General features: G+C 40.9%; 1 protein-coding gene and 1 pseudogene across 1 annotated transcript in view, besides 1 other annotated feature; both read left to right on the top strand.

Moving 5' to 3' along the window:
- KIAA0586 overlaps nucleotides 1-10,744 on the top strand; it is a 134,691-nt gene extending 123,947 nt beyond the window's left edge. The window contains exons 30-31 of the mRNA XM_047432009.1: nucleotides 7,951-8,097; nucleotides 9,027-10,744. Of these exons, the coding sequence (XP_047287965.1) occupies nucleotides 7,951-8,060 (110 nt within the window). The 3' untranslated portion in view covers nucleotides 8,061-8,097; nucleotides 9,027-10,744. The remainder of the gene's footprint in view (nucleotides 1-7,950; nucleotides 8,098-9,026) is intronic.
- Nucleotides 6,232-6,732: an enhancer, noted in NCBI's record as "H3K4me1 hESC enhancer chr14:59024296-59024796 (GRCh37/hg19 assembly coordinates)". NCBI's record gives its function as "activates a minimal SCP1, AML or CMV promoter by ChIP-STARR-seq in naive H9 embryonic stem cells {active_cell/tissue: H9 hESC(naive)}" and the evidence as "EXISTENCE:reporter gene assay evidence [ECO:0000049][PMID:30033119]".
- Nucleotides 12,712-13,392, top strand: RPL9P5 (ribosomal protein L9 pseudogene 5; annotated as a pseudogene).

Here is a 27,095-nt window from a genome sequence, read left to right on the forward strand (position 1 = left end):
TAAAATGCTAAACATATATCTTAAGATCTTTTATTGTTTTTCTATTAACTCAAAACATTTTAAAAATAAGTAAAGTAGCATTTTTAAGTTCATAGTGTATTACCACCCCCAATCAAAAAGTAATTCTGTAACTGGCAGGGCGCAGTGGTTCACACCTGTAATCCCAGCACTTTGGGAGGCCGAGGCAGGTGGGTCATCTGAAGTCAGGAGTTCGAGACCAGTCTGGCCAACATGGTGAAACCCCGTCTCTACCAAAAATACAAAAATTAGCCAGATGTGGTGGCGTGTGCCTGTAGTCCCAGCTACTTGGGAGGCTGACTGAGACAGGAGAATTGCTTGAACCCAGGAGGCGGAGGTTGCAGTGAGCTGAGATTGCGCCACTGCACTCCGGCCTGGGTGACAGAGTGAGACTGTCTCAAAAAAAAAAAATTATTATTATATAATTGAAATATACTTATCTTTTAAAAGATGTCCTGATGCTGTGGTATTTCCTTATATGTGAGTAACTTGAACAATAATGGAGAGTACAGTCCTTAATATTTCTGCGATGTTACTAAGAGAAAACTCACTGAAGCATTCTTTTCTATCATATATCCATATGTGCATCTGTTTAACAAACATGAAGTATGAAGGACATGGGGTGTACAGTGTGGCGTGGATCCTCAGGGGGAGGCTGGGCAGTCACCTCAGGATTTGTCATTCCTGCTTTTGGTCATATGCCTCTCCTGGAGGACAGAGATTAACCATAAGAAATTCTGTCTCCCCCTAATATGGAATCCTCATTTGATCATTAAACATCAGTTGCACAGTAGTTTTTGAAGACTCTATTAGAAATGCACTAGAGAAAAGCCAATTTTCTAATGAGAAATCTGATCATTATTGTTCAGGGAATTTCATGAAGGCAGTGTTTTTATTTGACCTAGGTAGGAGAATGAGGGGTAGATTTTAAGTGTCAGACTGTCAAATCTTTGAGAATCATCAGCCTGTGTCTGTATTCTTTTTAAAATAATTTTTTCTTCTTGTCCTGAAGTGTTTACCTGGAAACAATAGGAAATATTAGCCAGAGTACAGATGCCCCCTTATGAGGCCTGTAAATATTGTAAAGCTATTTGATGGTCCTCTAATTACCAAGACAGCAAGCAAATCAGAGCTCTTTTTCTGGGTCTTTATAGTATGAATGGTGACATTTATAATTTCAGCCATAGTGAGGAATAAGTTATTGATACATCTCTGGAATTCAGGGACCCCTAACCAAAGTTAAAACCCTCAAGCAGTTCAGTACGCTCCTACCATCTCCTGGGAGTTCACTAACGAGACTTCTGAAGAGACCCAAATGATGAGACTGAACAGGACTTAAAATCTTCAAAGGAGCTGGTAAGGAGTCTATGTACCAGGAATACATGCACCCCAGGAGTAGTTCTCAGTATACATAGAGGTCACAGGTAAAGAACAGGCCCACTGGCCCCATAATTAATATATATGTAAAGAGTTGAAAGTGTATGTCTTTTTCCCAGAATTATGAAGATAAACTATTTGAGTTGGCATCTTGTATCCTATTTTTCCTGAACATGGACATTTTTCTATTTTTTACAAGGTGCTACATTATAAGTAAATATGTAAATTGTAATATAAGAGGTATTTCTATCATCAGGATAGTTGTATAGGATTGCTTGTCAAGCTTGATAAGTAATTTTATTTCCTTTGGTCACATTCCCCAATAGTCGGACGGGTTATAAAAGTACCACGGACACTCGAGGTAATTTAAAATGTGATTGGGTTGACTTTTCTCTCCAGATAAAATATCGACTGTGTGTAGTTTTATGTAATTACAACAACAGCCTGAGTAGCTGAGTCTAGAGATATTTGTGGTATGCTCTAAAGTATATAGAAGATGTTCAGATCTTAAACTTGGTGGATTTGTTTGCTAGCATTAAGCAGAGGTATTCCTATGATTTGAGTGTTGCCTGGAGCTAGAAATGGATAACAGGTCCAGAAAGAGGCAGGTTAGCAGATGAAGCTATGGTCTCTCATTCTTAAAAACAAGGTAGTGGAAACGTATTTTGCTTCAAAAAAGGAAGGAGAAAAAAATGAAAAGTAGAGTCATAGAAAAGGAAAGCAATAGCTTTTAGTTACACAGCAATTTTACACGGGAGTCAGTTCATTTGATTGGGCATAACAAAAATATCTGGGTTTTTTTTTTTTTTCATTGTCTTGGGTGGAATTTGCACTTACAAAGCTGTCTGCTTGACCTGAAGATCTCAGGTAAGCTGTTTGTGCCTTGAAACCAGCTTCTGGAGGCTTGTTGGTTAGCCTCAACTTGCGGTCACTCATGGGAGTAGAAGTCCATTGGTTTTAGTTGAAAGTTCATTTTCATTATGACACATGTAACTGTGGGTCAATTGTAGCTGTTGTCAAGAGGACCTGAAGTGGCTCATTCCAATAACGTTCTAATGCATTTTTGTGTCTGTGTCAATTAGCATTTTCTGTAGGACAAACCACCCCAAACTAAGTAGCTTAAAACAATCATTTATTTACTCATGATTTTGGGGATGAGCAATTTGGGCTGGGCTCAACTAGGACAACTTTGCTTTGCTCCACATGATGTTGTCTGACCCTCACACATGAATTTACACTCAATTGATAGTTGATGGCCTCACATATCTGGTGGTTGCTGGCTGTTGGCAGGGAAATGGAGGTAACTGGGTCATGTGTCTCTCATTATCCAAGAGGCTAGCCCAAGTCCATTTATGTGATGTTGATCTGAGAGTGCCTATGAGCAGTAAGAGAGGGCGAGCTTCAGTATGCAAGCAGCGTTCAAGCCTCTGCTTGTGTCATATTGCTAATGCCTTGTTGCCCAAACTAAGTCATATGTCCAAGCCCAGACTCAAAGAGTAGATAATTAGACTGTATTTCTTGGTGGGCAGATTTGTATAGTCGCATACTAGGGAACATGCATATGGAATGGGAAGAATTTGTGGCCACTTTTGCAACTTAAAAAACATTGATTTCTCTTCTAGTGGAACTGGTCACTGAACTAGAATTCATATAAAGGTTTGAGTGATGCCTCCTTTGGAAAGGCGGCTTGTACCTACTCTGCACAAAACCATATGCTAATGAGCTTCTGACAGTATTTAGCTAAATCTGCATGTGACAAAAAATAGTTCTTGGTAGAGTTATTCCTAACCACATAGGGCATGCTATAAATGATGTCCTAGAGAGAAAATCTGCATGAGCTCTGAGGAGGTAGTCTTGTGGCCATTAACACTGGTGGCAAAACATTAGGCTAAGGCAGATTAGGGATTTTTGATACTTTAGACCTGGAGTCAGCACATTTTCTCAGTAAAAGGCCAGATAGTAAATCTTCTTGGCTTTGAAGGCCTCATGTGGTCTCTGTCACATAGTCCATATCCATCTTTGTTTTTTCTATAAACTTTTAAAATATGTAAGAAAAATTTTTTAGCTCATGGACCGTATGAAAAGACTTCAGGCCAGATTTGGCCCATGGGCTGTAGTGTGCCAGCCCCTGATTGGGACAGCTTTTGTTTCAGCACCTCCATTTGTTCTTTTTTTACCTTTCCTGAATGGAGAGTAGTTTTTGTGTTAGGAGAGAAATTCTGCAGAATCCTATAGGACTGTTATGGTGAAATGAGTTCCACAGTCACTGAATAGAAGTAGGAATTCCCTGTATTGGGAACACAAAGTCTAGCAATGTTTTCTTTCTGAAACATCTGTAGATTTCTTTTTCTTTCTTTCTTTTTTTTTTTTTTTTTTTTTGAGACAGTCTTGCTCTGTCGCCCAGGCTGGAGTGCAGTGGCACAATCTCGGCTCACTTCAACCTCCGCCTCCCAGTCTCAAGCAATTCTCCTGCCTCAGCCTCCCAAGTAACTGGGATTACAGGGCCCCACCACCACGACTGGCTAATTTTTGTATTTTCAGTAGAGACAGCGTTTCACCATGTTGGTCAGGCTGGTCTCGAACTCCTGACCTGAAGTGATCTACCTGCCTCAGCCTCCCAAAGTGCTGGGATTACAGGCGTGAGCCACCGCACCTGGCCCATCTGTAGCTTTTCATCAAGGAACAGGTTCTATCCATCCTGATAACAGACTACTACTAATATATATTTATAACTTAATGACCTGGATAGTTGCATAAAACCCATTTGTAAATTCTGAAAGGGCTTTGAGGAGTTTATTTTGTTTTACCTTTTCGGTTATAACTGGGTTATGTTAGTTATAGATGAGACATTATTCTACCACTTCCTGATCGAATTTTGATTTTTTTCATTATTTATTTACCATGGAGCTTAATTTGATTCTTTCATGATGCAAAAAATCATGGGTCAAGTTAGCATCCATTTGATGGATCATGCCACTCCCAGGCTGCTGTCAGAGACTGCCAGCACCCAGCTTTATGAAGAAAATGTCTCTGTAACTGCCAATATTGTTTCTCAGAAGGCTGGATTGATTGTTATGAGCCAATTATAGCTTGTCTAAATTGAGACAATTTTCCTTCCAAGTGGGGATAGATGTCAATTTGATGGAACTCTTTGTAGTTGGGGTAATAAAAGCTACTTGTTTAGCATTTGAGCTAGCAAAGGCATTGTCATTGGTTTTCAGTGTAGTAGTTTGTGAGTTTCTAACTTAACTGACACATATTTTTCATATTGAATAGCTTATAATGCATTTTCAATGTCTTTACCATTTTTAGTAGTTTTAGTGTCTTTACCATTTTCAATCAGAGTAACTTAAAAAGTAAAAATATCCACTTTGTTTCTTTAACATCCCACAGTTATGAGCAATTCCAAATGCATATCTACTGTCTGTTTAGTGTTTACAATTTCTTCTTTGCCAAAGTGCAAGACCAAGTCAGAGGCATTCATTCATCCACTTGGGCAGACTGAACATTAGCCCATGGAGCAGCTTTGATAGCTGCATGTTAGGTATCAACAGAGTATTCTGTACAGAAAATGCCTTTGTTATTTTAAGGTAAGTCATCTACAAATAGTATTAAGTCAGAATTGACTAAGATTTGATCTGGGCATTCTTGTGTGTTTAGTTTTTACTTTCTACTGCAAATATAATTTATATAGTGAAGTACTAATCTAGTGGAGAGCTCAATGAATTTCTACTTTTGTCTATACATACCTGTGTAATAGCTCCCAAGTAGAACTACAACACTTCCTAGCAACCCAGAAGGTTCCCTTGTGCCCCTTTCCTAGTCAATACACACCCCTCTTCCCCCAGAAGTAACCACCATTCTGACTTCTATCACCATCAGTTACTTTTGTTTATTTTTGAATTTCATGTAGGTAGAATTACAGAGTATGTACTCTTTTTTCTAGTTTCTTTTGTAAGTATAATATCTGTGATATTCATATATATTTTTGTAGTTTTTGTTTGTTTGTTTGTTTGTTTTTGAGACGGAGTTTGGCTCTTGTTGTCCAGGCTGGAGTGCAATGGCTCGATCTCGGCTCACTGCAACCTCCACCTCCTGGGTTCAGGCGATTCTCCTGCCTCAGCCTCCCTAGTAGCTGGGATTACAGGCATGTGCCACCACGCCCGGCTAATTTTGTATTTTTAGTAGAGACGGGGTTTCTCCCTGTTGGTCAGGCTGGTCTCAAACTCCTGACCTCAGGTGATCCGCCCACCTTGGCCTCCCAAAGTGCTGGGATTACAGGCATAAGCCACCACACTCAGCCAGTTCGTTGTTTTTTATGGCTGTGTGGCATTCCATTGTGTGACTATACCACAATTCATTAATTAATTCTACTGTTGATGGACATTTGGGGTGTTACCACTTTCTGTTATGAATAAAGCTGCTATAAATATTGCTGTGCATTTATTTTAGTAGACAGATGGACTGATTTGTCTTGGATGCATTTCTGGGTAATAGGGTAGGCATGTGTTTAGTAGGAGCTGGGCATTCTTAATCCCCCAGGTACCACAGTCATGGATTCCTCCTTATATAGAAGAGGGAGTCAATGGTGGGTTTAAAATCTTAATGATGTGCAATTGTGAGGTGGACAGTGGAAGGATTTCATCATCAGTGAGGCAGCTGACAGAGAAATGCTGAGTGCTGCCTAGAAGTAACAGGGACTGCACAGTATGTGGAATGCAAAAAGCTGGTGCAGCAGTAAGCGCTAGTCAGCCTGCTGCTGGAGCTCTGACCACTGAGCTGCTGCACCCCGCCGGTGTAGGCAGGGAGAGTACATTGTAGCCACCAGACCGAGAGATTTCAGAGAGCCAATAGACTACTGGTGTGAAGCTTCTCTCAGCCCAATTAATGCTAGGCAGGGAGAGTACATTGTAGCCACCAGACTGAGAGATTTGTTCAGAGAGCCAATACACTACTGGTGTGAAGCTTCTCTCAGCCAAATTAATGCTCCTATTAGGCAGCTTTGTCTTTCCTCTGTTTGGCATAGTTAGGGATATACAAAGTGTAGAGTTGCTGGGGGAGACCTTCAGAGAGAGGAAGACTTTTTCTGCCTTTTCATCCCATGTGAGGGGTCTGTAATCATGTCTTAGAAAGCTCTTGTAAGGGCAATCCTGAGAAATCTTTTTTTTTTTTTTTTTTTTTTTTTTTGAGACAGGGTTTGCTCTGTTGCCCAGGCTGGAGTGCAGTGGTGTGATCTTGGCTCACTAAAACCTCCACCTATCGGGTTCAAGCAATTCTCCCACCTCATCCGCCTGAGGAGCTGGGACTACAGGTGCGTGCCACGATGCCCAGCTAATTTTTTGTATTTTTAGTTGAGACAGGGTTTCACCATGTTGGCCAGGCTAGTCTCAAATTCCTGGCCTCAAGTGACCCGCCCGCCTTGGCCTCCCAAAGTGCTGAGATTACAGTGGCAAGCCACGGCACCAGGCCCTGAAAATCTTAATTGCCTTTGATTTTGGGAGCTTAGATAAAATGAAATAGTTTTCATTCTGGAGGATAACAGAGAGTATCTGCCTACAGACTGATCATACCCAAAATCATGTCATTTCAAATTTTGTAGATCTTTTGAAATGATGTAGTTAGAAATTTTCAGGTAGAGTTGTAACTTTTCAGTTGACATTTTATGTCCCTTTTCTGCCAATTTCATTAAGAAATAATTGAAGTCTTATAGCAGGAGAACACAGCAATAAATTGTTGTATAAGGGTGGATCTTCATGGAATACTTAGATCCTTAAGATCATTTACTTAGACATTGAGAAAAATATGAAGGTGATTTCACAGGTCCTCAAGTCTGATGATTTTTGCATATGAAACAAGCAAGCACTGAATCTCTTTAACTACTGGCTACTAAAATAAAGCTGCGTGTTTACACACTGCCATAAAACATTGACTCATGGAGGGAATGGAAGACAAGATAGTATTTGGGTAGGAAACACTGGGAATCTAAGAATCATAATTCTATTGATTGCTCTGAGGTTTTAAACAAATCTATAGTCTTTCCCGTTAGGTTTATTAATCAGAAATCTGAGCATTGCAAGGACCGGTACAAGTAGAAGTAGTCCTTGTTCTTAACAGCAACAACAACAACAATAGAATGGATTGGCCCCTGATATCTCTTCAGGTTTGAGTAAGTCTTAGGTAATTTAGACAGGAATTTATAAGGATCAATCTGAATCTTAGTAGGTCAGCATAAATAAGCACAGTTCTTAGCCTTTGGATGCGGTCCTTATTCTTAAGCTATAGTCCTAAGGTTTCAGTGGAATATTCAAGTTGTTTACCAAGCCCTTCTAGATTGGAAGGACATGAATCCTAAACTCTGTCCTTCCAGTATCAGGGAACTGTTGACATCTCTTTCAGGCTTCCAGGTGTTGCTTTCCACTGGATTCCTTGGATTTTCACCCAGCACATGTGCAGTTCACCTATTAGCTAAGAATTTGAGAGAGTCTGTATGCAGATATTGGGGATCCCCCCATCTGTAGCTCTCTTCTTTATGCGATTTTTCTGCTCAATTTTTAGCCTTTCTGGGAGCTCTGGATACTTGTTCTGACCTCCAAGCCCAGCAACACTGTCACTGCTGCATGAGTGTGTCATCCATGCACACAGGCAATGGGAAGTGCCCTGGATAAATGTGGATCTCACCAACTGTGTTCCTCCTTTCAAAGTGTAAGTATTCTCAGTTTCTGCTTGCTTTTGGTCATTCTCCAGTGCTTTCAAACAACTGGTTTTTATATTTTGTCCAGAGCTTATAATTGTTACTGGCAGGAGGGTTAGTCTGGCATAAGGAATTTCACCATTCCTGGCAGCTGGAATAGAAGCACATTTTCATTTTTAAACCTTATTCTCCTTCTTTCTCTTTCCTCTGTCCATCACCAATCTTTCCACCACTGGCCCTGGCCTGAGAAGCCTTGGGAACTCAGTAACAAGAGAGGAGCAGAATAGGATGTCAGGATGAAGAGGTAGCTCAAGAATTTAGAGAATAAAGATGGTTTCCCGCTGCCTGTAAACCTCTCATCAATGAGATCATGAAATACAAAAGGAGTGGTTCCAAATCTGGCTGTGGAGCATTTAAAAACTAAAATGGACAGGCCCCAGCCGGGCGCGGTGGCTCACGCCTGTAATTCCAGCACTTTGGGAGGCTGGGGCGGGCAGATCATGAAGTCAGGAGTTTGACACCAGCCTGACTAACATGGTGAAACCCCGTCTCTACTAAAAATACAAAAATTAGCTGAGCATGATGGCACGCGCCTGTAATACCAGCTACTCGGGAGGCTGAGGCAGGAGAATCGCTTGAACCTGGGAGGCGGAGGTTGCAGTGAGCTGAGATTGTGTCACTGCACTCTAGCCTGGGCAACACAGCAAGACTCCATCTCAAAAAAAAAAAAAAAAAAGATGCACAGGCCCCACTCCATACCCACCAAACCAACAGCTGGTGGGAGGGCCCAGGTGATTCTGATGGTTAGCTGGGATTGGGAACCATTACTAGAGGACAGGAAACTTCACATGTTTCTTGAGTGAACAAATGAATGAATGCATATGCACAGCTGAGTAATGGTGAGATCATTCACATGGTAAAATTGCCTCCTCTTTCACAGGCTGGTTCTCATGTATGCCGGATTGTTGAGGACTTGTCTGAGAGCTGTGGAAAGTATCAGCTGAAGTGCATTTTGACACTGATATATGATGTCTTACTTCACAGGAAATAGTTCAGGAACAGCCAGGAAGTCTGAAGTCCATTGAAAATGTGTTAAATGCGAGGTGTCCTGTGAGGTTTCTCAATCTCTCAGCAGTCTTGAAATTTGTTTCTCGTTGTTTCAGTTTATATGAGCCTGAAAAAGGCCTTTTATTGTCTTGCATCTGTCACTTAAAGATGTCCTTAACTCAGGAAACAAACCTCACTTATCTTTAGCAGTGTTTTACTTGGATCAAAAAGCAGCTGAATTCAAATGCTTTATGATACCTGAAAAATAACACCCAGAGGTACCGTTCTAAAGTGACTCTGAAATCCTCCCCTTTTAATAAGAATCTTTCTCCTTTGGGAGCTAATTTTTTGAGGCAATAATCTGGTTCTTGGCATTAAACTAAGATTCTTTTATCATTATATGTTGTAAACAAAGCTCTTGCTTGTAAGATGAATGTACGACAAGTTTCAGGGACTTTAAACTTCCCAATAAGAAAAGGGGCATATAGTTCCCAAAGAATTAACAGCCTCATTCTGTTGCTGAATTAAAGGCCTGTGGGTTAGGGCAGGGAGACTGTCCACAGAAGGGCTTATATAGGAGTGATGGAATGTGGTTCCCATTTTCCAAGTGCTAAAGTTGACAAGTTGTCCCCTAATAGATTTTTAGAAAGTACATCATTATATCATCACTTTCACTGCATGATTATTGCAGTCACATTAATCCACAGAGAAAGCGTGTGTGTGTGTTGAGATTTTTCTCTTCTGAAGCACAGTCAATAAACAGTTTTGGTTTTAGTTGGTTTTCCTTTTTCTTGCTATACATTTACATCTGGATTTCTCTTTTAAAATATAATTCCTCCAAAGCAGCGATGAAGATTTTAAAGAAAAAATGAACATCTAGTGCAAGACCATAGTCTTTTAATACACAGAAGGGTTTTTTTGATACTCATTAATGTTAATTGCATGCACTAATTTGTAGCCTTGTGAAATCACAAATTATATAAGTAGAGTTAGAATTGGCCCTTCTTTGCCACCTATTTTTCCAATAGGAAAACAAGATAAGAGAACATCTATTTGGAAACTTTATTAACATACTTTCTTTTTTCATTTTAGAGTTTTCTAAAGCTTTTGCCGAGTATTATTATTTTATTTAATTATCCACCTAGGATGAGAATTAATTAAGATATAGAGAAGTGAGGTGAGGCTGAAATGTGTCCTGGGTAACCAAAGAATTTTAAATGGATACTTTAAACTCAAATTGCATTGTTCCTTTTCACATCTATATGAACATAAAGTTTCATGAAAGGGCCCTTAAATTTCCTGTTTCATGGGAGTCTTCCTTCATTTCACTTTTTTTTCTTTTTCTCTTAGAATGCTAAATAGCCTCCTCCTCTGGAGACTAAATTAGATGCATCTTGAATTCATTTCGTACACAAGAAATCTTTTTCTTCCCCATAAGCCGTCAGTACCATTTATATTTTAAATGAAAGGCAACCCTTTTCATGAAGGAGGGACTCCAACTTTCCTTGGGAATTATCTAAACAAAGTCACGTGTCTCCTTTTCTCTGTTCCATCTTCACATGAGAAAGCATAAATCATGTAACCCAACAAATAAACACAATTGACATGTTATTTCTTTTTCTATAGAGACATCAGTTCTTTAATCTCCTATTTCTTGTAAGCAGGCCTGCTTTGGGGGACTGAAATCCTAATGTATACACAATGGTATTCTGTAAGTAAGAAAGAAACTCTAATGGAACTCTATGTTAGAGAAATTTAATGTAACATGACTATATGAATACCTCTTGCTGTTTTGCTTCTCTCATCCCATTTAGCTATAAAAACCAGAAAGCATTCCTGCTGAAAGGAAAGGAACAGCTAGCTAAGAGGAAAAATCTAACCGTAAAGTGCTGGCAATGCTCGGTGCCAAGAACCTGAGACTCTCTTTTTTTAAGCATGATGTTGTATTGTGAAGGTTTTATAAGAAGTTAACTTTAACCTATTAAAAAAAAGAGTGATTTGGAAATAAAGGAAAAGGAGCAATTTTGCCCCCTTATTCCTCTCTAGTATAAACAAGGTATGAGGCTAATGCTTTCTTGGCATAACATGAAACTCTGAACTAACAAAAGAGGTGTAATTAAAGCTCACCTGGCCTCAGAGGTCTTCTTTCCATAAAAGTTAAGCCATAATGGCTGGCACTCCGTGGCCAAGATTGGCCCGAGTTATTGGCTGTGACTTTCAATTGGTACAGAGTAGTTCAAAATAAAAGTCATTAAAACAAGTGGTGGAGGCCTCAGAGAGGAGCAGCTGGGGGAGCCCATTTATGTGTCTGTTTCAGGGATGAGATAGGGGTCGGCTTGTGTGAATGTTGGGTTTGTGAGCCTCTTAAGGCAACTCAGGTATCTCTTGGAGTCTGTTTGAGAAAGGCCAAGAAAGTGAACTTTTTTCCCAAAGAAAATTAATTTTGCTGTGATTTTTTTCTTGTTTCCTTTAGTCCAAGTGAATTCCCAACATTCAGCCCACAGGGTGCAGGCAGTGCAGCAAGGCATTCTGGGACTGAGGTTGGGTATGGCAGCTGCACAGATAATGGCTAGGAGGGCCCAGGTGCTTACTGTGGAATAAATGAATCTTTCCATCACCGGTAAATAAGATGAAGTCTTTCCCAGTCCAAGTCCCAGGCAATAGATGGTAGGTATGCCTCCATTCCAAAATGAGTTGCTGGAAAACTAACAGGGGTCTACAAATGGCATAATGATGACCAGAAGCCCGACACCCACCTCAAACACAGAAAAGGCTGCCGCTGGATAGTAGAGAGAATTTCTTGGAGGAGGGTTGGCTTGTGGTGGCCAGTTTGATAGAGCCCAGTGGAAGGAGCAGCAAGAAGACCACTTGGAGAGCTTGTGCCCCAAGAGTTTAAGGACCCACTAGACTGTTGTCTCAGGAATCTAAAGATGAGATGCTATGGCTATTCCCCTGAAGCAGCAGGGTGGAGAGAGTGACAGCATCTTTGCAGCTTAGGAATTTGCCACACATCCCACCGAGAGGGAGAGGAAGATGCAAGAGTAAGTGTGAGCTTTTTTCTTGGACCAGAAGTGGGTAATGTGAGAGGCAGCCCTGCTAGAGATATTTAAAATCTGCCCAATGGCCTGGAACAGTGGCTCATGCCTGTAATCTCAGCACTTTAGGAGGCCGAGGTGGGAGAATCTTTTGAGGCCAGGAGTTCGAGACCAGCTCAGGCAACATCGGGAGACCACCCCCCCCTCCAACCCCCACCCCATCTCTACAAAATGATTTAAAAATTAACTGGGTTTGGCAGTGTGTGCCTGTGGTCCCCGCTACTCTGGATGCTGAGGCAGGAGGATCGCCTGAGCCTGGGAGGTCGAGGCTGCAGTGAGCTGTGATCATGCCACTGCCCTCCAGCTTGGGTAACAGATCAAGATCTGGTCTAAATAAATAAAATCAGCCCAAGAGGACTGCCTAGAGGGGTGAAGTGAACCCGACCAGGGGTTGGACCACTAAATTCCCTGGGGCTGAAGAAAGAAATAAAACAGCCAGAGGGAAATGCATTACTCATGTTAAGACAATCATGGTATAATTTTTTGTTTTTTTGCCATGTCTATAGCAAGAATGAAGGCCATTCTCAGTAATGAATGTTGACATCACTCTGAAAGGGATGAACAGTTATTGTGAAGAGCTCCAGAGGAACCCTGCAGAGGGACTTCAATCACAATATGACTGTAGAACTCAGTCTTCTTGGAAAGAAAAAGAAGAGGCTCTGGGTTGACAAATGGTAGGAAAATAGGAACTGGCTGTCATTCACACTCTTTGTAGTCACGCACAGAACATGATCAAGGGTGTTACACTGGGTTTCCGTTACAAGGCAAGCTCTGTGTATGCTCAATTCCCCAACAACGTTGTTATCAGGAGAATGGGTCTCTTATTGACATCCAAAATTTCTTGGGTGAAAAATACATGAAAGGGGTTTGGATGAGGCCGGGTGTTGCTTATTCAGTATCTCAAGCCCAGAAAGGTGAGTTAATCCTTGAAGGAAATAACATTGAGCTTGTTTCAAATTCAGCTGCTTTGATTCGGCAAGCCACAGCCGTTAAAAACAAGGATTTCAGAACATTTTTGGATTGTATCTGTATTTCTGAAAAACAAAACAGTTCAACAGGCTGATGAATAAGACCCAAGAGTTGTCCACCTACAGAAATGAGATGCCAGATGATTCCTAAAACCTATTTGTGATATTTGAATGATGCAGTAAAAGACCTTTATTGGAAAAATAAAAGAGAATTATAGTCTGATGTTCCTACCATGATCTCTGAAGAACCCAAAGATGCGGCCTAAGAAAAGTGGTCACCTTTAACCATTCACCTAGTTTAGGGAGGATCAGCTTAAAGTACCTATCCAGCCTGAGGAAATCAACCCCAGATGAAATTGATGATAGTCAAGGAAGATCTTCCATGGCCTTTTTCTTTCACTTCTCTTACCTTACAACCTTCCGGGAGCCAGAGCCAGACTAGTGAGTCGGGGAGAGCAGAAGCAGGAGAAGACAGAGAAATGGAGAAGGATTTTCTCCACTGCAGGTCTTCCTGCTGCAGAGCCCTGATCTCTCCGCGAGGAGAAAGTTCTCTTAAATGCAGCTCAGATTCTCACTATTAGGTAAAAGTGGACATTTCTGTTTTTGTGATTTGTTTTTTGTGTGATTGTAAGTGATCAGAGGGCTTTTTGTTAACTAGGAACGAGTGGATTCCTGTGGGGTCTTCCTACGGTGCTTATGGTTTTGCCTATCATCTAAGAATTAATCGAATAATTAGTAATGTCATTATGATATTACTTACTACCTAAGAGGAGTGAATAAGGTATCAACTTTAGATTTCATCCAGGGGTGAAGGAAAAATTAGCCTCAGACAGTGGGCTTGGATGGGCAGTGTGTTGGACAGGAATAAAGTTGTTTTCTGATTGTAGCAGTCCTTGAGTCAGTTCTGCTCAGTCAATGTACCAGGAAGATTTAAGAAATTATTTTGTAAAAGACATTGGACGTCTCTTCCCACATCTGACATACCTGTTTGCTGCTCCTGAAGTGAATTTGGGTAAATAAATGATCAAATAAATGATTTCTGGAGCAGCTGAGAATGTAATTAGAGAATGTAGCACACACAAAAATGAAGGGAAACAATGCAGCCTATTTAAGATTCACAGACTATATGTTAAATGTTGCTTTGCCCAGGATGGAGTTATGTTTCTTAGCAATCATCCTACCAGTGGGTAGGAATCTAGAAGTAAAAATTAATATTACTATTTTTATGCAGTAGAAGAGACATTATATGTAGAGCTCTTGATGGCAGGCATACTGCTACTTTAATAAAGGCTCATTTCAAACATTTCCCAACACTTTATGAGATCGCTTGTAGTTTTGTTTTGTTTTTTTTTAATGATGTGTTAAGTTCTAAAACATCCCGTTAGTAACCTGTTTCTGAAGTAGTTTTCCTTAGAACATGACAAGGTAATCAGTTCAGAACAGCGACACTCTGCTGGCGAGTGGAGCTATCTCAGGTCAGGTGGACCATCTGTTCTTGAAGAATGTAAACTAGTAAAATAAATTGTAAGTAAAGATAAAGTTGTTCATGCAGGAGGGGGAAGGAGATTAACAAACCTCTGCAAAGCTCTTGAAAAGCATCATTTCTCTGAAGTTTAGGGAGTCCCCTTAAGGAAATGGTGATTAGCACAAAAGCTGCAGGGTGTCTGATAATTAACATTTTTATTTGTGTTTTTATTTAATTAATGCCTGCTCATCTACTCAGCTTCATGAGAGCAAGGACTCACTGTCTATTAGGTTTTAAATGCTGCCCAAGTCTACAATCCTTTGATTTCTTTTCTTTCTTTTCCCCTCATTATCAAAAGTATTTCCCTGAAAAGAATACTGCCTGTTGTCTCTCTGTTTCTCCCTGTCATCAACAACTTCTCCCATTTGGCCACGCAGACTCCCCACATTGCCAGCTTCTATCTCAGGACATAGGGAGTGAGGCTTGCTTAGGCATATACAGGCATGCTGCAGGATGAATGAGGTCAGGAAATACTGGTCCTTTTGAGCCTCGGAGGTACTGTGTCTTCTCAAGCCCAGGGAAAAGCCTAGCTTCTTTGAGAAAATCCAGAAGTGGTAACTGGACTTCAGTGAATAGCCCTTTAATTTTGGTTGATAAATGTTTACTGGTAAAAGCATACTTGAGATTAAAAACAAAGGTAAATATTCTTACTGTCTTAGTCTGTTTTCTGTTGCTTATAAGAGAATACATGAAACTGGATAATTTATAAGAAACAGAGGCCGGGCACGGTGGCTCACGCCTGTAATCCCAGCACTTTGGGAGGCCGAGGTGGGCGGACCACCTGAGGTCAGGAGTTCGAGACCAGCCTGACCAACATGACAAAACCCCATCTCTACTAAAAATACAAAATTAGCCAGGTGTGGTGGCTCATGCCTGTAATCCCAGCTGCTCAGGAGGCTGAGGCAGGAGAATCGCTTGAATCTGGGAGGCAGAGGTTGCACTGAGCCAAGATGGTATCATTGCACTCCAGCCTGGGCAACAAGAGTAAAACCCCATCTCAAAAAAAGAAACAGAATTTCTACAGTTTTGGAGGTTGGAAAATCCAAGATGGAGGGGACACATCTGGTGAGAGCCTTCTGGTTGGTGGTGACTCTCTACAGAGGCCCGAGGTGGCACATGGTATCACATTGCCAGGGGACTGAGTATGCGAAAGTGCTAGCTCAGGTTTCTCTTCCTCTGCTTATAAAGCCACCAGTTCCCCTCCTAAAATAACCCATTAATCCATTAACCCATTAATCTATAAATGGATTAATCCAATCACCTCTTGAGCACCCAGATCTCAATACTGCCACATTTGAGAATTGACTTTCAACGTGAGTTTTGGAGGGGACGTTCAAATATAGCACTTGCATTGTACAAGGGCTGATAGGTACATTTGAAAAAATCAAATGCAGAAATGAGCACCAGCATTTGGTCTTTATTCTGGAGGCTCTTCTCCTTTTTGTTAGCACTGACAACTCTGCCAGGCTTCCTTCTGTTCGAAAAAGAGTAAACAAGGCCAGGAGTGGTGGCTCACACCTGTAATTCCAGCACTTTGGGAGGCTGAGGTGGGAGGATCACTTGAGGCCAGGAGTTTGAGAACAGCCTGGGCAACACAGTGAGACCCTGCCTCTACAAAATAAAGTAAAATTAGCTGGGCATGGAGGTGCATGCCTATAGTCCCAGCTACTTAGGAGACTGAGGTGGGAGAATCACTTGAGCCCAGGAGGCAGAGGATGCAGTGAGCTATGATCGAACCACTGTGCTCTAGCTTGGGTGACAGAGCAAGACCCTGTTTCAAAAAACAAAAAAGAGTAAGCAGACTATTTTTTTCCTTTTAAGGAGGGAGCAGGCAATAAGGAGACAGAATTCCTAAAGAAGCAGAGCACCTAGTCCAAGATCCTGTTTCTTAATCCGGTTGTCTGTGGATTCCCATTTTACAGCTTCCTCTGTCCTCTATTTGTTTTCAGCAAATTTGTACTCATCAACTCTCTCTCCAACAAGTGATTTCAAGTTATTCTTGAAAAGTGAATGGCTTCTGGTTTTATGCATTGGTTCTTATGATTGGCAACTAATCTAGAAAGCCAGGACAGCTTTCCTCCTTGGAACGTATAACTAGGGCCTTTCTTCCTTCAGAGAGACACTTGATTAAGAAAACTTTTTAACAAAAAAGTTCTCTAACACGCACTTTAAAAATTTCAAGTAACTTGTGTGTACAGATGCACGCGCGCGCGCACACGCGCGCGCACACACACACACACACACACACACTAGTTTTACTAATGGAAAGGCAGCTTTAAAGCAAAGGCAATGAAATCTTTTCATTCCTTCCGGACTGTGGTCCAAGGTGAATATATTAGTAGAGCTTCATATTTACCTAATGGTTTCCAGAAGCCAATGCGATAGCTTTGATTAATGCTGCCTCATAATGCCAATGATGTGTACCCCAGTAAATCATCAGAACACTTCCCCGTGGTAATATATCAAAGACATTCATTACAGGCTACTGTGGCTCAGGTGATATATTACTCAGGGGAAAAACATACCCAACTACCCAAAGGCCATATTGTGTGCACTTGGGTAGAATTAAGCCAGGCTACTTTTCCATGGAATCTGTTTGCAACTTTGAGAGTGGTCAGAGAACTTTTGTTTTTTTTTTTTTCCAAACACCAGTGAAATACTTCTCAAATTTGCATGATTCTTTTGTTCCAAAGGACCAAAACTCTCCGTAAGTGCAAATGCATGTGAAAAATGTTGAACACAGGTTAAAAGCATGGATTTTGGAGTGACACCTGGGTTTGAATGCCAGCTCTCTGGCTTGATGGGTTATGTGGTCTTAAGCAAGTCAGTCATTTAGAGTTCTGGTGAAGTGGGAAGTATTTGTGTATGTGATATCTACAATTGTCTGTAAAGGATGACCTGGGATTGAACATATAAAGTAGACTACTTAGTCCTTGTTCCCTAATGAGCCAATAAATGGTAGCTAGTTACAAATGTTCCAGCAGGGAACTCCTGACCAACATTTCTACACCCAACTTGGAATCTTCCCAAAATAATTACGTTGAGCTGCTTTGAGTAACTAGGTTTATATAGGAGTCATGGTTGATGATCCAGATAATGTCCTCCTAATTGGAAATCATAAAGCAAAGTTGCAGGGCAGTGCTAAGTAGCTGGCCCAGTAGGCCCTGTCCTACTTGAGCCAGCTCCTTGCCTGTCAGTAATGACCAGCTTAGTGATGTGATTTGAGCATAGAATACCCTGTGGAGCCATGTGGATGGCATTGCAGAGAGAGAAGAAAAACTGATCATTCTGGTTCTTGCCCCATGATTTTGACCCTCAGTGCTGGAGGTGAAAGAAAAACATGAAACTGGAGAGATAGCCCTTTCCACCAAGCTTAGCTGAAATAATCTGGTTTCAAGCATCCCAGATCATCTCTGCCAAATGTTGGTCCCAGCTGAGCCTCTACTGGTCTGATCTCTCAATCAGCAAAACCCATGGATACCTTTTAAAAATTGTCCCACTTGGATTGTTTTAGAAATCTACCTGTGCCTCATGTGAACAACTTGTGGGGAAAAATTATATTTCTTACACATATAATATAACAATAGCACAAACAAGGAATTTTTCTATAATTTCACCAGCCTGACACACACAGTTTTATTGTCCTATAATCCTCCCCAAGATTTATGCTGTGCATGGTTTTATATAATTACATTATTACATAGGTATAATATTTAGATTGATTTTATTAGATAAGCAATGCATGAATATATATGTCCTGTAAAAATTCAAAACAATAGAAGTCTATAGAGCTAAAAGTGAAAGTCTTCATTACCTCATCCAAATCAGTTTTAGTTTTGTTATCATTTTGTTTTTTTCAAAAGTGAAATCAACTGTAAGTGTTGTCTGTGACTTCCTTTTATTCTCTTAACATGTCTTAGAACTTTCCTTGTCAGTACCTGGACCAAATGTTATAGTGTGCTTTTTTTCATTTAATTTTTTTTTCTTTGAGACAGAGTCTGGCTCTGTTGCCCAGGCTGGAGTGCAGTGGCGCGATCTCCGCTCACTGCAAGCTCCGCCTCCCGGCTTCACGCCATTCTCCTGCCTCAGCCTTACGAGTAGCTGGGACTACAGGCGCCCGCCGCCACACCCAGCTAATTTTTTGTATTTTTAGTAGAGATGGGGTTTCACCATGTTAGCCAGGATGGTCTCGATCTCCTGACCTCGTGATCCGCCTGCCTAGGCCTCCCAAAGTGCTGGGATTACAGATGTGAGCCACTGCACCCGGCCTTCATTTAATATTTTTATAAGTATTTCTTCATGTTGCCAAATATTTTTATAATTTTTTTGAATGATGGGCGTGAGTGGGATTGAGACTTGGTGGCTTATTTATCGGATATAAAATAAGCTATCTCCAAATGGCATGATCCCAAATGAGCAGTGCTTATTTGGTACTGAGTTTATTGGAGAATCATAGAATGGTTCACCAAAAAGGGTTTCAGCCTATTCCCATTTTACAGATGAGGCAACCGAAGCTCCTAAATGGAGCACAGGAAGCAGAATGTCTTGCAGATCTGAGGTTGAGGACCACATGTAAGAAGGAGCTTGGGTACCCGATGACTTCCTTGAGGAGTGTGCCAGCCCTGGGTTGCCCAAACCTGGACTTCTTATTACATGACAAAAAAACCCAGCTTTTGGTTTGGTCACTGTAGTGGGGTTTCTATTACATGTAGCCACATACACTCCCTACTGACACAGCTATGTTCATTCATTCATTTATTCACTCACCAAACAGTTATTTAGTTTTAGTCATGTGCCTGCAATGTACAGGCTATGTTCATAACACTAATAGCTAGCATTTATGGAATACTTAGTACATACAATGCTTATGCCGAGAACTTTACATGTCTGTTCATTTTGTATTCACCACAACCCTCCAAAGTAGATATTATTATCCTAATTTTACAAATGAAGAAACTGAAACTCAGATGAAATAACCTACTCAACAGCACCCAAGTAATAAGCTCCAAAGCCTCTCTGACACTTAACTGCAAGAAATTTCACTTTATTTATCCTTTGGGACATAGGAACCCATACAATTTTTTCTTTGGGTTTTTTTTTTTTTTTAGAAAGATCAAATTCCATCTTTATAATCACACTGTGAATTAGATGTAGTTATTCCCATTTTCTTTTTCTTTCTTTCTTTTCTTTTTTAGACAGGATCTCGCTCTGTTGCTTAGGCTAGAGTGCAGTGGTGTAATCATAGCTCACTGCAGCCTCGACCCCCACCTTGGACTCATGCAATCCTCCCGCCTCACTCTCCCAAGTAGCTGGGACCACAGGTATGTGCCACCATACCTAGATAATGTTTTAAACTTTTCTGTAGAGACAGGGGTCTCCCTATGTTGCCCAGGCTGGTTGGAACTCCTGGCCTCAGGCGATCCTTCCACCTCAGCCTCCCAAAGTGCTAGGAATTACAAGCGTGAGCCACTACAACTGGCCACTGGGCCAATTTTAAATGTCTCTGGCAGGGCTCTCTCCCACATTGCCCACTTCTCGTCCAAGAGAAAACGCTCACTTATCCTTGCACCTTTCCCTCCCCCTTGGTGGGATGTGTGGCACTTCCCATCTTTAAATGAGATTAAGAGAGATCAACTGACTTTAATACAATTAATTCAATGTGACAAGCATGTATTGGGCACTGTGTTCTGGATACTTAGGTGCTGAGGCTACAAAGCCAAATGAGGCAAGGCCTGGCTATAGTGTATGCTGCAGGGAAGGCAAGGCTTTTCTGGAATTACAGAGGTGGCAGAAGTTGTGTTTTCTCCGGCTGGCATCAATTCCTGACTTTCTGTCAGCAGAATATTCCAGACAGGCTGGTTTCTATAAAATTCCTAGGGAGAATCCCAGGGTTTAGGTTCTGGGGGAAGGGAAGAGAGGAAATTGGCAAAAGATACTGCTTGAAAAGGCTGTTTTTCCGTCTTTCCAAATCAGGTACAAAATAATGAACTGACACAGAACGCTTTCTATTTGTTAACTGTTCAGTTTTCCCTAGCACAGGGAGGAGAGTGAGAGAACGGCAACCTTTGCCACATGATTGGAGGCAGATTTGTTTACCAGATCAAAGCCTGTGGGTAATGGAAACCTCGGGGTAGAGGGGGTGGTGCCATGCAGCGGGGCCTACAGAGCCTACTTAGCTGAATGTCTTACTCTGTATATTCTGGAGCTTGAACTGCACTACTTTGAAACGCCAGCTCTCTTTAGATTAGTCACAGGGGGATACCCAGGTTGCTGGAATTGCTCAGGGATTCCAAGATGTTTACAGAGTGAAGCTACTGGGTCTGGATCACGTTCCTTTCAGATACTGTAGACATATCCTGTGACTTAAGGGAAAAGTGACAACGTCTTTGTTCCTCTAACCTGTGGGTAGCTAATTTTGAAATGATTAACATTTCCTGGTGTTAAGCTTTCTGAAAGACTCTCTATGTATCTAATGATTTCTAAGGAAATATAGAATCTACACTATAATGATTTTACTGGAAGCCAAAGGAAATACATTAATTGTAAGTGTAGAGCAAGAGGGCAGGAAAGAAGCACCGCAAATCAACATCCTCATCACTTCCAGTGAGGGAGGCTGGGTGAGAAGGGGGCCAGGAAGACCTTTACTTTAAGTGTATTGTTCAAATTGTTCTTCATAATGAATCTGTACTAATGTGTTACTTCTACAACATCAATATTTGTTGAATGCTTCTAGAAAGAAAAAAATCTTTTCCATAATATGTATTAAAAGTGTTTCTTGAGTTCAATTATTTCCAATTATGGAAATCTCGTTACTCTTTTTAAAAGAACAACTGAACATAATGTCATGTCTTGAAAATAAATGTTTCAAATGACAAGATAGTTTGGGATTGGAATTCCCTTCTCCAGAGGTTGTTTGCACTGGGAATGGACCCATAATACTTCACAAACAGTGCTGGAATGATTTGTGACTGCTAAGTGCCCAGAGACCAAGCAGCCCCTGGTGTGTGCCTGGTACTGTTATTAATATATCTGTCATCTTTGCCTGCTCTACAAATGTTAACTGGTTCATCCTCAAGTGGTATGAAGAAGTTCTTTGCTGCAGTTTTTGCTGAGGAATATATAGAGGTTAAGGGGGCTTTTTCTTTTCTTTTTTTTTTGTTTGTTTGTTTGTTTGTTTTTTGAGACAGAGTCTCGCTCTGTCACCCAGGCTGGAGTACAGTGGCATGATCTCAGCTCACTGCAAACTCTGCCTCCCGGGTTCAAGCGATTCTCCTGCCTCAGCCTCCCAAAATGCTGGGATTACAGGCATGAGCCACTGTGCCTGGCCAAGGGGGTTTTTTCACTGTGATTTTTGTGTGGGTTGATTTAGCAGTTGGTGAAATAGTGAGGGAATGGAAGGCAAGAAATTCTGTTCCATCACCAGCATGATGTCCTTTATGCTTTGTGTTCAAGGACTCCACTTCTCGGCCATGTGTGGGGCGTGGACACCTTCGGTGAGGCTGGGAGTCCCTGTGTGGGGGCGTTGAGAGTAGGGAGTCCTGGCTACTGAGTCCACGGGGGGTAAAGGCTGTCACAAAACCCTTTCCCCTTCTACCTGAGAATTTTACCTTCGAATAATTTCTTTCTCTGTTTCCCCCAGAAACCTGACAAAGGTAGTATGTCAACTGTGTTATTAGGTATAGTAACTGATGTCAAAAATGACTCCTTACTGGTAAATTGCACCTGTACTGGGAGAACTAAATGCCTAAGAGGAAGCCATAGCTTTGGGCTTGGCCGAGAGCAGTGACTCTTGACACAGGGTATGTCCCTTGAGGTGATGCTGACAGCTGTTGTGGAGTTGTTACAAGACATATTGGCTCCTGTGGGGCATGAGGCTCCGGGGCTAGGGAGGATTCTACATGTGCTTGATGTGGTCTCATTTTCTTGTACTAGAACCCTGGGAAGCCAAAGAGGCCATCTCTTGCTGTATGGATTGCTGTATAGATTACTTCCGAGGAAAACAAACGCTGATGCTTCACTGCTAGCAAATAGAATATCCTGGCTTATATCCTGATACCAAGTGTGATTGACTGCAGTCTTGTACGTCTGAATATGTAGCTGAGTCTAAGAAGCCCCTCGATGGGTTTCGCAAATCCACTCTGCAGCCATTTCCTAAGAAATGTCTCTTCCAGAGGCTTGTTGGGAGCCAGACATGGACCCATTTTCCTTCTTGTAGAACCCACAAATCTCTCCCCTTCCTTGTCTATAGGGAATCTCTTCCTCTGAATGTCTTATTGAAGTCTTTTTGATAATCCCATTTTCCCTCATGCTCTTAACACGATCTCTATGGTGAGTATAAGTCCTTCAATAAGACTAGAGGAGCCATTGCCTTCAAGTATCTTTGCCTTCTGCCCTGCAAAAACTGCTGAGACAAGGAAATACTAAAGTTACCTGTTGGGAAAGGTGGGCAGTGGGGAATAGAAAATAAAACTCAAGTTAATACATAGGAAACCATGCCGTCACACTTGTTAATATTAATAATAAAAATCCCTTACCTTTATCCAGGGCTTGGTTCTTTGCAAAGTGTTTTCACAACCAGCCTCTCATTTCAGCCTGACAGTGCCTTGTAAGGGAATCAGGCAGTGATGTGGTAAGCACTCAAAAGGGAGAGGGAATCCCTGGTTTGTGCCAGTTTCATACTACCAATGATTTAACAACTCTGAATTTCTAGATATTTAGCAATTGGCTCAGGGGAGCTGGTGTGAGCAGACTCTAGCACCCCCTTGGAGTCAGGACAGGTATAATCATCCTGATTTGAAGGCAAGGAAAGTGAAGCTCAGAAATGTTGTCGAAGGCCACAGAGTTAGTAAGAGGCAAATCTAGGAACCTGAACTTATACCTGCTATTGCATGCTTTTTCTTGCTGAAGTAAGTCTATCCTTCATGCCATGTGGAATAGTAAAAAACTAAATCCGCAAACCACCAAGAAGAAATGCCTAAAACTCCCTTCTAATGTCTGTATTATCATCAGTCTTCCTTTTCTTCTCTTTCCCTTTTAAGAAAAGATTCTGTCAATGGGCAGTATCCTGTCCCCTCTTCACCCATCTGGGTCCTTACTCCACAAATCAATTTCTTCCTCTTGCATCCTAGAATCACCCCTCTCTAACCTGTGACTAGCGCTTCCTCCCTAACCTATGACTCCCCTTGCAATTTCTCTAAACTGACCACCTGTCTCTGACTTGCTCACCATCTACTTCTGGCCACCAGGCTTCTTGACAAAGTCAAACCGCATGCTGCTTCTATTTCAGCACTTTCCACTCTTGCCTCAGGCCACTGTCATTTGATTCACACTCTTCTAAGGCCCCAGATCTACCCTCTCAAAAGCCAACTGTGTCCTCCTCAAGGCCAAATCCAGGCCTTATCTCAGTCTTCCTCTAGCTTATTCTTTTTTTCGCACTTGACACCACTGATGACATCCTTCTTGAAAGGCATTTCTTACTTTGTTCCCTGCTCGGTGGTGGGTGCTAGATTCATGGGTTCTCATCATGTCTTCCTGAGTGATCCTCATCTTAGGGAAGAGGCTCTCATGAGCATCCAGACAGAGCCTGGGCTAATGTTTTATTACTCAGTCATTGACTCTGTCACCCTCTCTCTTCCATTTCCCTCTGCTGCTTACATCAAACACGACACTTGGCAAAGCTGACCTGACCGCCTTTAAAACAGTTATTATGTTCATTTTAATTTTATCTGCCCCCTGACTCTGTGAAGAAGCTGCCACCTTGCAGCACTCACCAGATAGCACACGAAAGGGGCACACCAGGAGACAGCCTCTGTTGGTAGAAGTCCACAACATGTAGAGATGACTGACCTGACACCTTGGCTCACATCTCTTGAGTCTCCTGGCCCCTGACTTTACTATTCTTATATATTTGTGTTTACTCCTTTGGATTTTACAGCTTGGCATGCTGCAAAGAGCACAGACTTTGTGGTGAGAAGGATCTGGACTTGAATTGTGGTTCTGTTGCTTCCTAGCATTGTGGCTTTGGGCATGCCATGTAAACCTTCTGAGTCTGTGTTGTCATCTGAAAAATATATTATATCCTGTTTGCAAGTAGACTATGGGCTGTGAGTGAGATATTGTATGAAAAGCGTCCAGCATGGCTAGCACTTGACAAATGGCAGCTGTTGTCATTATTTTTGGTCTTCTGTCCTTCTTTCCAGTTTGTCTTTGGTACCTCCCCACAATAACTAGTTCTCAGTCCTGGCCATTGACATTTCAAATATTGACATTTGGGTAACACTGCTCCTGGCTGGATCCAAGATGCTCCTATCTGGAGCACCTGTCCTAAAAATGACATTCTTGTTCAGACCCTAGCATTTTGCTCTTTGGTCTTTATTCTGTTCTCAAAATGAACACATACTGAAAAGCATTTTTCACACTGGTTCAGCCTCATAGCTTTGCCAGTCCCCCAGATCCTCCTGCGACTAGTTTAGGACCTAGTGAGGCCACCTTTTTGGTTTAGAATTTTTAAGTAACTTAATGTCAGTCTGGAATGCTTTCCTTTTAAGTGATATTTATATGTGTGAATGTATGTATTCATTCAAGTTGGTTCACTTTTTTCTTGACTGTTTATTGGCCTTTTGAGATCTGTGAGAAACTGTCACTTCTTATTTTGGAAAGAATTGCCTATCTCTTTTGAGTTCCAAACAAGTAAGTTTCTGGAAGTCATTTATGTTTAACTCAAAGAATATTTTGTATTATTTATTTATTTATTCATTATTTTATTTTATTATTATTTTTTGAGAAGCATCTCACTGTTGCCCAGGCTGGAGTATAGTGACACGATCTCGGCTCACTGCAACCTCCGCCCCCCCGGGTTCAAGCAATTCTCCTGCCTCAGCCTCCCTAGTAGCTGGGATTACAGGCACGTGCTACCACACCCTGCTAATTTTTGTATTTTTGAGTAGAGACGAGATTTCGCCATGTTGGCCAGACTGGTCTCAAACTCCTGACCTTAAGGTCACCTTAAGTGACCTTAAGTCACGCCTTGGTCTTCCAAAGTGCTGGGATTACAGGCATGAGCCACCGCGCCTGGCCTATTGTTTTATTTAAAAATAAATTTCTCTACCAAGCAGTAATAACCTATGTTAACATTTGGTGAACATCATCTTATTCATGCTTATATATAGACAGACAGGAATAATTTCATAATTATGAGAGTACGCTATTTTAAAAAATAAAAGTTTAAATTATGATTTTGTTTGAATTTAATAACAAGGGAAAATATCTTAAACTCTAGGTAAATGCTGAACTCTAGGTAAAGGTTTCTTTGCCACAGAACTCTTAGGTTCTGTAAGATTTCACTAAAATTAGGAAAATAGTTTATAAAAAACAGTAAGAAATCAGAGTATTTTTTAAAACTGCTTGTTTAAAATTTAGATATTAGATATGAAATCCCTACTGTGAATGATGAAGTTGAGTGCTATTCATATGTTCTGTCATCTCTTTCTTCAGTTCTGAATTTTATGTTGTTTGTATTTTCGCTTTTTCAGGGCATATAATATTTGCTTTCTGTTTACCAGAAGTTAGTCTAGCTCTATGTTTAGCCTTAGTTCTATATTTAAATGGATTCAGTGCTTACCATCATATCTTTTCCATGGCTTTTCTATTTCTGTGGTTTTTGTTCTGATTGAGTTTTTAGTTGTCTTGTTTTCATCATGGGGTAGTTGCTTTTTCAAGGACACATGAGTGCTGCATATTCTGTCTTTCTTGTTGAAAAATGTCTATTCATGGAAGACAACCTGGCAGGATCAACTTTTTAAAAAATGTAAACATTAAAACTACGAAACATTTCTAACATAAAGTAAAAGATAGTTCTATATCCACCATGGAGATAATAAATGGAAGATAGCATCTTCCTGTATTTGTTTGAGATCTTGAACTTTTTTTTTAAAGAAATAAAATAAAGCTTTATATTCTATGCTTTCCCCGTCTCTTAATCCCCTTAACATTATCCTGAAGTTGATATTTATCATTTTTGTGAATGTTTTTCTACTTTACTTTTAATACTTACATGTATGCCTTATTATAATATATATTTTAGTTTTAGATTGTGTAAAAATGTATTTGTTATAATATTCTGTTTTATACTTTTTGAACTTGCTTTACTCATTTAGCATGTTTTAAAGATTTATCTGTGATGGTTAATATAGATCTAATTGGTCTTATAAATCATGGGATAATAGTTATTTTTTGCCTACTGGCTGGAAAGTTGTTTTAAGTTTCTCACTATTTCAAATACTGCTGCCTTGAAAAAATAAATAAATAAATAAATAAATAAATGTCTCAATGCTGATTACTGAAAACGTAGTTTCACAGTAGCCTCTCTTTGGGGA

Source organism: Homo sapiens, chromosome 14 (assembly GCF_000001405.40).
Source record: "Homo sapiens chromosome 14, GRCh38.p14 Primary Assembly".
Lineage (NCBI taxonomy): Eukaryota > Metazoa > Chordata > Mammalia > Primates > Hominidae > Homo > Homo sapiens.